Here is a 13,288-nt window from a genome sequence, read left to right on the forward strand (position 1 = left end):
CTCTTTTTGTCTTTTATTTATTTAGTTACTGAGAGAGGGTCTCGCTCTGTCACCCAGGCTGGGTGCAGTCACGGCTGACTACAGCCTCGAACTCTCAGACCCAGAGGTCCTCGTGCCTCAGCCTCCTGAGTAGCTGGGACCACAGGTGGGAACCACCAGGCCCAGCTAGAATGCTTTAAAAAGAGTCATCTAAGGCAGAGGTAGAAGTTACAGCTCTAGGGCCCAAGTCAGCCTCTGTTTTTGTCCAACAGAGGGCTAAAAATGATGTTTATATCTTTAAATAGTTGGAAAATCAAGAGACTATTTTGTGACATGTGAAACTTATAGGAAATTCAAATTTTAGCATCCATAAACAAGGAGATGTGGGGACACAGCCACACACACTCATCACGTGGGTCGAAGGCTGCTCTGGGCCACAGCGGCAGAGGTGAGCGTTTGCACCAGAGGCAGAGTGACCTCGAGGCCTGAAGCACACCGTCCAGCCCTTCACAGAGCGGCGTGCCAGCCCAGCTCTCGGGCTCCCTGGCAAGGCTGGAGCCGCAAGGGGCTCGAGTTTCCCCTGCCCGCAGCCCCCATAACTGGAAGCTGGCTCGCCCAGTGCCCTGATCCCACCCGCCGGCCCCTTCCTGTCCACACATCCCCGCTTTTCCCTGGAAGCCTTTGGTGACAAGTGCAGACACTCTGCCCCTCATCGTCTGGGGTCCTTGGCCGCCTCTCACCTGTCCCCCAGGTGGCAGGTGAGGCCCTCGGGTCCACTCTGAAGGTGATGGGCTGATGCTCCAGGCCGGACATCAGGCTCCGTGACAGCTGGTTCTACACCGTCTTCTCCGGCTGTCCCTGGGGTCACGCCCCTCTCCTGCTGCAGAAACTTGGGTTTCCTCCGTGAGGCTTAAATGAGAGCAGCCTCAGGACAGATGTCCAGGAAAGGCCAAGAGAACTCAAGCTTGACTGTTCCTCAAGCCTGCTCTTGACAGACAGAAGTGGGTTGGGTGAATCTGAGGAAGAGGGGAGAGGGCCTCGCCCCATGGGGCAGGCTTGTTACCGTCAGGACGGGGCTGCTTTGGGTGCTGAGTCCTGGAAGCCGCTCGGACCCATCCATGACTTCTTATGTGTGCTGTCGGCAGCTGACCAGCGGCCACGCTATCCTGGACGCGTGGGGATGGAGCTACGGGGAGGGTGCGGTGGTGACTGCTCCACTGCAGAGCCAGGTATCGCCAGGGGCGCCAGGTGAGACCCAGCAGAGACACAGGTGGAAAGGAGTGAGTCCTCCAGGGTCCCCTGAACAGTCAAGTTCCACCCATTCAGTAGCTTCAAAAACAGGCTCACGATTTGGTGTGGGCCCTGGTCTCCAGCTGGGTTCCCTCACCTTACGGCTCCCCATGGTCACCGGCAACCCAGCATCCCACACTCTGGATGGGGGTCAGGAGTGGAGGCGACAGGAGGCGAGGAGGCGAGTGGGCGGCACAGACAAGGAGGGAGCCCACCCCTGCTCTAGACAGAGTTTAGGAGTGGAGGGGACCGAACAAAAGGAATCGTCTTCATTTCACCTTCTGGTAAGAACAGGCTTTAGCCAAGGAAAGGAGGGGTGGACGTGCAAAGCCCTCCCGTGCGGGAGCCCTGGGACAGAGGAACCATCCCACAGCCCCCCGGGAGCCGCCGATCCCCCCGACACAGCCCCCCGGGAGCCGCCGATCCCCCCGAGACTGGCCTGCACCTGCACATCTGGGGGGCGGGGCCCCGAATTGTCCTGCCACAGTGGCCCCGCCGGCAGGGAGATCAGAGGAAGAAATAAAATCCTCAGGCCTCACCTGGGATCCAGATTCGAGGCCGGAAGAGCAGACTTTGCCGGGGGCACTCACGCAGATCCCCACGTCTCAGGGCACCGCAGTCCTATTACCATAAGCGATCATGCAAAGGTGTGGTAAAAGCCATCTGTCATTCATAAAATGTGATGATGCCTTTCTGCAAAGACATAAGCCATCCCGGGGCTCAGCCAAGAAATGGCCATAAAATCCGGCATAATGACCTCAAAGCACACTTTCCAATATAAAGAACTTTCTAGGCAGCTGTTTCCAGAATTTATCTGTGTGCAATAATTTTACACCTAAAACTATCACTGTGTTCTGTGTCTGGTGGCCTCTTTAGCAGTTCCTCCCCTGTAACAGCAAGAAAGTGCCTTCAACATGCTGATGGGCCCCGGGTCAACATGCTGATGGGCTCCGGGTGACCAGTGACAGCATCAGGTTCGCTTGACAATGGCTTTGCCGTCGGACACAGGCGCAGGTGCCTGGGGAGGTGCCGTCTGTCTTTGTGATCCCCCAGGTTGCCAGGAAGGAGGAGCTCATGCCTCTGTTGAGAAGAGCAGGTTTTGTCTTGGTTGGACTCAGAGACCCTGAGAGCAGGATTTTCCCTCCCAAGCGCTCCCCAGGGGGAGACCCCTCGGGCCAGGACTCCCAGGGCCCACACAGAGCCTGGTGTTCGGAGGACAGAGCCTGTGGGGACCAAGGGCAGGCACAGCTGGGCTCGCACCGACAGCTGGGGAGGGAGGGGGAGCTGGAGCCTGAACTGACCCCTTTGGTGGTGGGGTTGGTGGGGTACAGGGAGTCAATGGCCCAGCCCCAGCGACAGCACAGCAGCTTCCCCAGGAGGAAGGGGAGGCTGAATAGGAGAGAGAACCCCACCTCCTCCACACCTGAGGCCGTAGCCCGAGGCTTTCACTCCAGACCCAGGCATGTACGGGCTCTGATAAGAGGTTCCCTGTAATTTATCCTCACTTGAATCTCAAATTTGCTTCTAAATATCCAATCTTTTTTGTCTAATGTATGCGTTTTCATCCCTAATCACCAAACCTGTAGATTACACTCATGCATGAAATATTTGGTGAATACCTTTTAATTTTACAAAATGTCTCCTTCTGAAATTACTCCTCCGCACCCAGGAAAAAACAGAATGATGTCACTGCCAACTTCGAGGTAAAAGTATTTCGCAAATCTTAACAATTTTAGCTTCTACATGCACGTTAGGAAGTGTTGATGGACACAGGATCATACTCTACCTATTGGAGGAAGGAGACGATTTAATTGATCATGTCTTCAATTCCTGTCCCCACCCTCCCCGGGCCCCTCTGTCCTGGGGGGCCGTGGCCTCGCGATGATCTAGGCTGTGACAGAGGAGCACCCAAATCCTCTTCAGATTCCTTTCAACTCGGCTGTGACGTCTGCGTCTTCATAAGAAAGGACGTGTTTCCGAGCGGCCACTGAGAACTACAGGCAGGCCGACCGGCAAACCACCCACAGCCAGCACCGGGAGCTGCAGAAGCCACGGGGCCCTCACAGGGGTTCTCTGTCTCCTCCATGGAGGTGCTCCCTGTCTATCTGCTGGGCCCGCTCACAGGGCCCCTCCACGGATGGTGCCCGGCCTCCCTCACGTCCTCGAGGCGTCCCTCGGTCAGGTACTTAGAATCTGCGTCTCCCACCTGCTTTTCCCAAGGCTGCAGCTTCCCCTGGACAAGAGCGGAGCCTGGGCTCCCAGTGCCAGGTTACTAGCCCAGGACCTGGCCCCTGGCAGATGCTGGGCATAGGCTTATGAGAGGACTGAAGTGGCTGTGTCTCCACGCAGCCGACAGCTTCACGAGAGAGAAGGGGAGGTCAAGGCCAAGATCCAGTGACAAGAGGACCAGAGCCCCATGACTAGCAGGCCACAGATGGCAGCTAGTTTAGTCCTCACAACAAGGTGAGAGCCAGCAGCTCCCTCCCACAGCAGGAAACTGAGCTCTGAGAGATTCCCTGACATGCCCAGTGCCGTCTGGCTGGTGAGGGACAAGCCGGACCTAGCCCCCATGTGCTGGCTCCAAGCCCACCCTCAGCCCAGCCCCTCCCACAGCGCTGGCCTTTCCTTCCCACACCCCAACTGCTGCCTCCAGCACGGGGACCCCCAGGGAAGGGCAGGACCCTGGGAAGCAGATGTGGGCTTCTTGTTCCTAAGTGTCCAGAATTCCAAGATGGCTTAAACCCAGCATAGGGCTGAATGGGTGAGGCTGGCGAAGAGGTCAAGTTTCTCTGTAAAAATAGTGACCACAATAATAGCAACGTGTGCTTTGTAGCAAAGACTCACTGAGACTCTGCGTGCAAAGTGCTAAGGCCGGCCCAGCTTGCGGCCACGCCAAGTGCCGTCTGCTGTGGGGCCAGCTCCTCCCTCCTCCTCCAGTTCCTCGGGCTGTCTGGTCTGGGGATGTGGCTTTGGGGCTCGGTGGCCTGCAGCCCATCCCCTTGCCTTCAAGGGCCCCTTAGGGCACAGAGCACCCCGTCAGGTAGCATCCCCAGGACGCGGGGCCGGCTGAATCCCTGGGTGCTGTGCCCTCTGCTCTGCCTTCTCCGGGGCCCCCGGCAGGATTGGCCTCCCCGACTCCGGCAGGAACTTGGTGCGGCTGTCCCAGCCCTGGGCATCTTCTCCCTCAGGCTGCGGCCTCACAGGGCCCACGAGGGTCAGAAAGCAGAGGTCTGGCTGTTTTGATTTTTGGGTTTTTATTGAGACAGGGTCCAGCTGTTGCTCGGGCCGGGCTGCGGTGGTGTGATCACCGCTCACTGCAGCCTCGGTTTCCTGGGCTCAGGAGATCCTCCCACCTCAGCCCCCTGAGAAGCTGGGACTACAGGCACGCACCACCACGCCCGGCTCATGTTTTTATTTTTTGTAGAGATGGGGTCTCCCTCTGTTTCCTCAGCTGCTCTCGAACTCCTAGCTCAATCAGTCCACCCACCTAGGCCTCTGAAAGTGCTGGGATGACAGGTGTGAGCCCCTGTGAGCCCAGCCCCTGGACTTTTTTTGGACTCTTTCATATAACTAATATGTAGGCCTGGAAGTCTGGTCATTGCTTTAAGTAGTTTCTTGGTAGAGAACTAAGAATTCTATGTTTGAGAGGCCGTAGGGGCCACATCTGACCCACTTCCTTCTAACTAATTTTTGTTTTTTTTGAGACAGAGTTTCTCTCTTGTTGCCCAGGCTGGAGTGCAGTGGCGTGATCTTGGCTCACTGCAACCTCCACCTACCAGGTTCAAGCGATTCTCCCACCTCTGCCTCCCGAGTAGCTGGGATTACAGGCATGCGCCACCATACCCGGCTAATTTTTGTATTTTTAGTAGAGACGGGATTTCTCCATGTTGGTCAGGCTGGTCTCGAACTCCTGACCTCTGGTGATCCACCCGCCTCGGCCTCCCAAAGCGCTGGGATTACAGGCGTGAGCCACCGCACCGGGCCCAGGTAGAACTATTTTTAAAGCCAGCTTTTGTTCATTATACCACACTGTGTCTACGAACAATCTGTAGACTGTGTGCTCGTGTGCCTGTGCACCGGTGTGTGTGTGTGGATGCCGTGAACAGACTCTAGATTATCTGCCTTTTGGAATTTCCCGACATTGTGTGACCATCAGAACATGATCAGTGTTGCGAATGCTCCATGTGTAACGGACTGTGAGTCCTGTGTTTGACGGATACAAAATAAAGTCAAGCTTTTACATTGTTTTATTCTTGTGTTTTCGGCTTCTTGATCGGTTGCTTTTAATGAAAACGAATGAGTTCTATTTTCAAAGACCCTCAGACGGTGGGTGGGGAACGGATAGCCCAGGAGTCCAGCGTTGGGGCGGACTGGCCGGCGGGCCAGCGACAGCAGCCGGAGGGACGAGCACGACCCTCCCCAGCCACCCCGCGTCCCCCGAACCCAGCCCAGCAGATGCAGAGCTCACATTTTCTCCTGCTAGCGGCTCTCCCGGCTCCCCTGTGAGCCCCGATAGCCAGGCCCATTGCCCGTCAGCACCCACAGCCAAGCGGGAGGCCTGGGGAGGAAGGAATATTGTCCCGTTCTGGCTTTGCCGGCCAGGATTAGAATTGCACGCGGCGCAGCATCTGGCGCCCGCTGGACGCTCAGTAAGGACAAGACGGCTCTCCTCCTCCTGCCACCCAGAGCCCCAGCCTCCTCCCAGCACCCCCAGGCTCCCAGAATAGGCTACGGCCAGAGCTGGCCTGTGGTAAACAGCTCGGAGCCTCCGGGCAGGTCTTGGATGAGTAACCCTCAGCAAAACATCGTGGGATCCAGAAAGGTGCAGGTGCCAGGCCTGAGCTGGGTGGGCCCCTCCAGCACCCCCACCTGGACCCTCCGCTGGGCCACTCCAGGCCAACGCATGGGTGGAGGTGCAGGGGGAAAGCCAGCTCTTGGGCTGCGGTGCCCGCCTCTGCCCCACCTCAGGAGGCTGGGACGTCCCCGATCTGTGTGGGAAAGAAAACCCGTCATCCTGTTGCTGATGGGGCCTCAGCGAGTCGTGGGGGGCCCCTGGGAGGAGGTGGGAGGCACATAAAGCTCCATCTGCTCGTGGACTGCACACTCCCTGGCCACAGCTCCCAGGAGGGCTTTCTCCTCCACACCATCACGCACCCCAAACTTTATGGCCCAGCATCCCTTTCCCACCCTTGTCCATACATCGCGGTGCCCCCTTCACAGAGAAGCGTTGCATGAGTTCCTTCAGTTCTGTTCCAATATCCCCTGCGCAGCCATGCAGACAGGCTTCCTTCTTTCCCCTTCTTGCGCGAGCGACACGGCTCTACACGTCCTCTTATACCTCGCTACTTACGCACGGCGGCCTCTTTCTCCTGGGAAGATCAGTGGCGGCTCCAGCCAGGCCAGCTGGCAGCTCAGGGCTCAGGCGCTGGCTCATCTGAGGAGCCCTGGGCTCCAACCAGCTGCTGGGCAACGCTGGGACGACAACCTCTCCTGTCCTAAAGGGCAGGAGGTACTGCGGCTTCTTCCCCTGCCACAGTCCCAGGGACCTGACGGGGACACTCAGAGACTCTGTCTCTGCCTCCTGTGCGGGGTCATGCTCTGCCTGGAAAGCGCCTCCTTCCTTCCTGGCCCATTGGGAAATCGCAGTGTCCTCTGGCCGGTCCCAGCACCCCCGGGTGGGACCCCAGCGACCCTGCACCCCCCCACTGCAGCCGTCTCCCTCCTCCTGGCAGGGCAGCTGCCAAGCCTTGCCCAGTCCAGGTCTCCCCAGGCAGGATCCCTTGGGGGAAACCTGAGGAGGCAGCTGTTCCCCCACTCCCAGAGTGTCCTCAGAGAACCCCTTCCAGACCCCAAGCTCCAGAGCTCGGCCTCAGGTTCCCTTGCTCGGGTCTGGGAACTGGAAGTCGGTCCCGCTCCCCTCCCTGGCCTCTGCCCCATTTTTCTGTCCGCTTCCACGTAGAGCAGACCAGAATATGCCACCCCAAAATATGCCTCTTTGGCATAAGCATTATTTTGAGCTGCTTATTTTGAGAAACTGCAACCACAGGAGAAATTCTGAAAACAAGAGTGGAAGCTGCTGTTCTATGAGAGAAAGTCACATCCGTACAGGCATCTGCGCTCACCAGGGTGCCCCCTCTCTGGGCCAGAAGGCCGCCTGTAAGTCACCGGAGACGCTCATCCATGGAGAAGGCCTGACCCCAGTTTGGGGTAATTTCTTGGGCCCCTCCCCACACACTCTTTCTCTTTGTTTCCGTCGAACATGGTCTTTAAGGCTGAGCTCCAAGCCACGCCTTTGCGACATAGCCTGTCCCGAGTCCGTCCCTTGCAGACCAAGGTATACATGCTATTAAGCTTCTGTTTTTCTCTTGTTATCTGTCTTTTCCACCTTGCAGCACGAAGCTTCCCCCAGGAATCCTCCACGCCCTCACCTGCACCAAGACTTTCAATTAAGAGCAGCAGTGCCCTCCTGGTGTCTGGTGGTGCCAGGGGGCAGGCCTGGTCCTCAGGCCTGGGGTCTTCTGTCCCCCCTTATCCTGGGGAGCCCATCTGTCCCCCTCATTCCTGGGAAGCCCGTCTGCCCCCCTCATTCCTGGGGAGCCCGTCTGCCCCCCTCATTCCTGGGGAGCCTGTCTGCCCCCCCCATTCCTGGGGGACCCATCTGTCCCCCCTCATTCCTGGGGATCCCATCTGTCCCCCTCATTCCTGGGGAGCCCGTCTGCCCCCCTCATTCCTGGGGAGCCCGTCTGCCCCCCTCATTCCTGGGGGGCCCGTCTGTCCCAGGGCTTTGCATACTGAGGCCTCGCAATCCACAAGCTTTCCTAATTCCCAGCTCATCCACATGACAACAGCCCTTCCCCGGGGGCTCTGGCCGACCTCCCTTCGTCCTCACCACACAGCTGCTCTCCCTGCCCCGCCCTTAGCCCTCCTTAGACCCATCCACCCGGCCCCTAGGTGAGCCTCTCCCGACCCAAGACCCAGCGTCGTCCCTCTGTCCCCAGCCTTCCCACGGCCCCCTCACTCAGGACGCAGCCCACAGCCTGGCCCCACCTGCAGACCTTACAGAGGCCACTTGGCCCCTCACACAATGCCCACCTCACAGGCCTTCTCTCCCCGCAGAGGGTCAGACATGCCCCTGCCCCAGCCTTGGCATTTCCACCCCGCAGGCCTCCACGGGGCTGAGCCCTCAGGTACCAGCTTCTGTGCAAAGCCATGCCTGGAGGCCTTCCTGGGCCACGTGGTCTAAGACAGCAATCCCCTCACACCCAGAGCAGGCAGCCCTCCCTGCCCGGGCCGTCTTATTTTCCTATGTCATTCCTGTCACCACCTGGCGCTCACCTTGGCTAACTGGAGCTCCAGCCCCTTTGGACGAAAAGAGCTCCCAGAGCCACTCCCTGGTCTCTGATGGGGCTGTGTGTCCTCTCCAGGTGCCCTCCCCGACAGCCAGCCCCTCCGCCTCTGCACAAGGGAGGGCCCAGGGAGGCTCAGGGCCTGTGTGGCTGTGTGTGTGTCTCTATGTGTCTGTGTGTCTGTGTGTTTCTGTGTATCTATGTGTGTATGTGAATGTGTATCTGTCCATGTATCTGTGTATATCTGTGTCTGTGTGTGTGTGTATGTCTGTGTCTGTGTGTATATCTGCGTCTGTATGTATATATGCGTGTCTGTGTGTATACGTGTCTGTGTACCTGTGTCTTCGTATGTCTATGTGTGTATTGGTGTGTGTCTGTGTGTGTCCATGTGTGATGACATGTGTATCTGTGTCTATGTGTGCATCTATGTATATCTGTGTGTATGTCTTTGTGTATCTATAGATCTGTGTCTATGTGTATATTATCTCTGTGTTCATCTGAGTATTGTATGTCCATGTGTGTCTACATGTGCCTGTGTCTGTATCTGTGTCTGTCTATGTGTCTATGTGTGTATCTGTGTGTCCGTGTGTGTGTGTCCATATATCTGTCTATGCATGTATCATCTGTGTGTCTGTGTATTGTGTATCCATGCATATATCCGTAACTATGGGTATGTCTGTGTGTGTTTGTGTCCACGTGTGTGTATCTGTGTGTGTCTATATATCTGTGTCTATGTGTGTGTCTGTGTCCACGTGTGTGTATCTGTGTGTGTCTATATATCCGTGTCTGTGTGTATCTGTGTGTATCTATGTGTGCATCTGTGTGTGTCTGTTTTCTCTTTGTTTTTATGGTGTCCACGGATGGGCCGACTGAACCACCAAATTCCTCCTCAGAGCCCAGTAAAGGCACCAGGCGGAAGGGTCTGGCGGAGGGTTGGCCGCTGTCTCCTCACTCCTCAGCGGGGTCCTGTCTTCCGACTTTTGTCTCGCGCCGCCGCAGCCTGTGGACTCCTGGGCCCTCCTCTGAGAGCCTGCGCTGTGCCTGGCCCCGGGCGGAACTTTGAACGAGGCTCCTGTCTTAACTCGACTGCTTGTGCTTGGGGGAGATAAACAATAAACAGGAGCAGAAGAAAGTGTCCTCAGACCACGGCGGGTGCTGTTGGGAAAACAGTGGCGGGGCAGGGAGGGGGGCGCTTCTGAAGGACCTGGCGAGGTAGAGGCCACTGTTCTAAGAGGCAACAGACGAGATGAACCAGGACCCTCTGCGAGGGAGGGAGGCGTCCAGGGGTGCACACGGGTCCAGATAGCTGCCGGGCTCCCAAAAACCACTCTGGGGGTGAGGATGGGAGGGGAGAGGAGTTGGGGGCAGGAGGCAAGTGAAAGTAAGTGCCCAGGGAACCTCCATGAGGCCCCCCACACCGGATAATAGTGTTCCATGGGGTCTGCTCAGCCCCATGTCTGCCCCAAGACACTAGCCACAGCTCTGCGTCGAGGTCCTGTAGACCACGGGAGAGATGGGGGGGCCAGGAGCCTATAGAACTCCAAGTCCAAGGGGACCCTTGCTGGGAGAACACAGGCCAAGACCTTCCTTCCTGCCACAGGCTTCTGTCCCTGCTGTCTGCTCCCCCAGGACTCCCCCCACACCCGGGATCTTCCTCCTCACCCTCCTTGGCCTCTCTCAGTGACCCTGTCTACACACAGATGTGCTGTCCATGTGAGTGGAAGGAAGGAAGGATGAGGTCCACTCACAGGGGTGAAGCTGTCTCCTGAGGGGGCAGCCCACCTCCAGGTCACACCGCCCCACCCAACACAGCCTCCAGTCCAGCTCCAGGTGGGCCGCACCCAGCCCTTCACTCACTTCAAATGGCCCAAGACGCATGGATTCCACTGGCCAGCCGGACTGGAACAACTTCTCCCCTTATAAGTATCTAGTGGGTGCCCACGGAATGCCAGGCAATGGGCCAGGCTCAGAGATGAGTGATTCCTCAGGAACAATGGGCTCAACGCCCTTAATTCACATCAGAGGAAACTGAGGCTCAGAGAGGGCGGAGAGGGCCCTGGTAACACAGCCAGCCGGTGAAAGTAAGAGGGGGGGCCCAGGCCCTGCTCCCGGCCCACCCGCCTGGGCTTGCTGGCGAGGCTGCTGGCCCAGGCAGTCTGGGCACTGTGGAAGCAGCCGGCTTGAGGCACAGGGGATGTGGCCTCCTCCCACACACTTACCTCCCTGACTACATCTTAGGCTGACATCCAGATTAACTCATATTCCCTACAGGGAGCTGCACGGCCAGAAGCTGCTGGTTGCAGAAGCCACCAGCTGGTTGTACAAGCACCGCTCCCCTGGTTGTGGGTGACAGATGAGATGCACTCACGTGAACACACATGCATGTGCACACACACATGCACACAGACGCACACACAAACACACACAGGCATACACACGCACACGCACATCCACACACACACATGCGCACACACACGCACACGCCTGCACTCACACACCCCCGTCGGCCCCAAGCAGGAAGGCGCCCCCGGCACACCAGCCCCTCTCAGCGCCCCCAGCGGGCCCGGCGCCTGGAGGGTTAAGGCGGGCGCGTCCCGCGGGTGGGCGGGGGGGGGGGGACGGGACCGGTGCCGGGAGCTCCGCTGCCCTGGCGTCCCCTGGGTCCAGGCCCAGTCGCTCCTTGGGCCTCTCTCGCGGGGCCGCCTCCGCCTCCTCCTTGCCGAGACGGGCGTGGGGCACGGGGTCGCCGCCCGGCGGGGAGCTCATCCGGCGGCGCAGACGCCCCGCGGCTCCGGGGAGGGACTTGGCCTGGGCCCCGGCCCCGCGCTCCTCTGGGGAGGAGCCGAGAGGCTGCAGCTGGCGGCGGCGGCCCCGGGCGGGAGGGGGTCCCAGGAAGCGGCCAGGCCGGAGCCCCCCACTCGGCCGCAGCTGCTGGCCTGGCCAGAACCGAGCGCGCCCTCCCGGTCTCCGCCGCTTCCCTCTGCAAACCGCGGGCAGGAGGAGCCCTCTCCTTAGCGGGCCCGGAGCTCAGAGGCGTCGCGGGGCGCGGCCGAGGGGAGGAGGAAGGAGAGCGGGAGCGCAGCCGGCCCGGGCCCAGCCGTGACTCGTGGGGCGGCGGCTCCGCCAATCTGTGGGCGCTGACGCGGGGGGCGGCTCCGCGGCGCTCGATATCTGCCCGCCCGGGACGCGGGGCGCCGAGAGGCTCGGCCAGGCGGGAGCTGCGCTCGGGGCGGCCGCTGCACCTGCCCGGGACCCCGCCGGCCGCTCCCCGCGCCCACCCCTTCCGCCCTTCGCCCCCCCCTTCCCCCCAGCCCCGGTCTCCCGGGCGCGGCGTGAGAGCAGAGCCCGGCCCGGAGGAGCCGCCCCTTCCCCGCCCGCCCGCCCGGCGCCTGGAGAGGAGCGCGCTGAGGATCGGGACGCCTGCGGCCGCCGCCACCGCCCAGGCCCGTCGCGCCCCGGCCGGGATGGACCCACACGCCCGATGAGCCCCGCGCCGGCGGCTGCGAGCGCCGAGCCTCCCCCTGCTGCGGCCCCAGCCGCCCCCCGCGCGCCCGGCTCCGCGGACCAGGACCCCTGGGCTCCCCGGCTGAGGGCGCGGCCGCTCCGGAGAGGCCGAGCGGGGACGGGCCCGAGATGGCGCGGGGACCCAGCGCTCCGGCGGCGGGCGCCCTGCACGCGGCCCGGGCCCGGGGACAGCCCCGGAGCTGGTAGCCGCCCGGCACCGATGGACCTTGACCCGCGAGGCGGCGCCGCGCTCGTGCCCAGCTGCAGCTAGAGGGGCGCGCGGGCAGAACGCGCTCCAGGCCCGGGCCGGCCCGCGCGGCCATGAAGATGATGCTGGTGCGCCGGTTCCGCGTGCTCATCCTGATGGTGTTCCTGGTGGCCTGCGCGCTGCACATCGCCCTGGACCTGCTGCCCAGGCTGGAGCGACGCGGCGCGCGGCCCTCGGGGGAGCCCGGCTGTTCGTGCGCGCAGCCCGCCGCCGAGGTGGCCGCGCCCGGCTGGGCCCAGGTTCGGGGCCGCCCCGGGGAGCCCCCGGCCGCCTCCTCCGCCGCCGGCGACGCGGGCTGGCCCAACAAGCACACGCTCCGCATCCTGCAGGACTTCAGCTCCGACCCCTCCTCCAACCTCTCGTCCCACTCGCTGGAGAAACTGCCGCCCGCGGCCGAGCCGGCCGAGCGCGCCTTGCGGGGGCGGGATCCCGGCGCCCTAAGACCCCACGACCCCGCGCACCGGCCGCTGCTGCGAGACCCCGGCCCGCGTCGGTCCGAGTCGCCCCCCGGCCCCGGCGGAGACGCCTCCCTCCTGGCCAGGCTGTTCGAGCACCCGCTTTACCGGGTGGCGGTTCCGCCGCTCACGGAGGAGGACGTCCTGTTCAATGTGAACAGCGACACCAGGCTCAGCCCCAAAGCGGCGGAGAACCCGGACTGGTGAGTGGGGGCTGGCAGGTGCCCACCCCCAAGGGAGCCGTGAGCCCAAGGCATGGTGTAGAGAGGTTCAGGGGCCCCAGAGGGCCGCCCCCCATGGAAGAGGCCGGGCAGGGAGTGTGGTGCGGGAGGAGGCAGCCGCCTACCTCAGGGCGCTGCCTTTGTCTCCAGAATAACCTCCTCCTTGGGAGGGGCTGCCGGCTGGTCCGGGAGCTGTGCCCTGTGGCTGCTGGTGAGGAAGCCAGA

At 61.0% G+C, this 13,288-nt stretch overlaps 1 protein-coding gene and 2 long non-coding RNA genes across 7 annotated transcripts in view, besides 1 other annotated feature; 1 reads left to right on the top strand and 2 right to left on the bottom strand.

The window, feature by feature from the left end:
- Position 1: 1 nt before the first annotated feature.
- On the bottom strand, positions 2 to 1,574 carry LOC124901806 (uncharacterized). The gene is made up of 2 exons (XR_007060631.1): positions 1,367 to 1,574; positions 2 to 1,196 (listed from the first exon to the last, which is right to left on the bottom strand). It is a non-coding gene; the product is annotated as an uncharacterized LOC124901806 (long non-coding RNA).
- Positions 1,575 to 5,498: 3,924 nt separating this feature from the next.
- LOC124901808 (uncharacterized) lies at positions 5,499 to 9,359 on the bottom strand. Its single transcript, XR_007060632.1, has 2 exons — positions 6,139 to 9,359; positions 5,499 to 5,827 (listed from the first exon to the last, which is right to left on the bottom strand). It is a non-coding gene; the product is annotated as an uncharacterized LOC124901808 (long non-coding RNA).
- Positions 7,496 to 8,164: an enhancer, noted in NCBI's record as "H3K27ac-H3K4me1 hESC enhancer chr7:188255-188923 (GRCh37/hg19 assembly coordinates)". NCBI's record gives its function as "activates a minimal SCP1, AML or CMV promoter by ChIP-STARR-seq in naive H9 embryonic stem cells {active_cell/tissue: H9 hESC(naive)}" and the evidence as "EXISTENCE:reporter gene assay evidence [ECO:0000049][PMID:30033119]".
- Positions 11,812 to 13,288, top strand: part of FAM20C (FAM20C golgi associated secretory pathway kinase) — a 68,202-nt gene continuing 66,725 nt past the window's right edge. For all 5 annotated transcript variants that reach the window (XR_007060117.1, XR_007060116.1, XR_001744837.2 and 2 more), the window contains exon 1: positions 11,812 to 13,045. Coding sequence is in view for 2 of the 5 variants with exons in the window: in NM_020223.4 (NP_064608.2) it covers positions 12,441 to 13,045 (605 nt within the window). In the remaining 3 variants the exon portion in view is untranslated. The remainder of the gene's footprint in view (positions 13,046 to 13,288) is intronic.

The sequence above is a fragment of the Homo sapiens genome, chromosome 7, assembly GCF_000001405.40.
Source record: "Homo sapiens chromosome 7, GRCh38.p14 Primary Assembly".
NCBI lineage: Eukaryota > Metazoa > Chordata > Mammalia > Primates > Hominidae > Homo > Homo sapiens.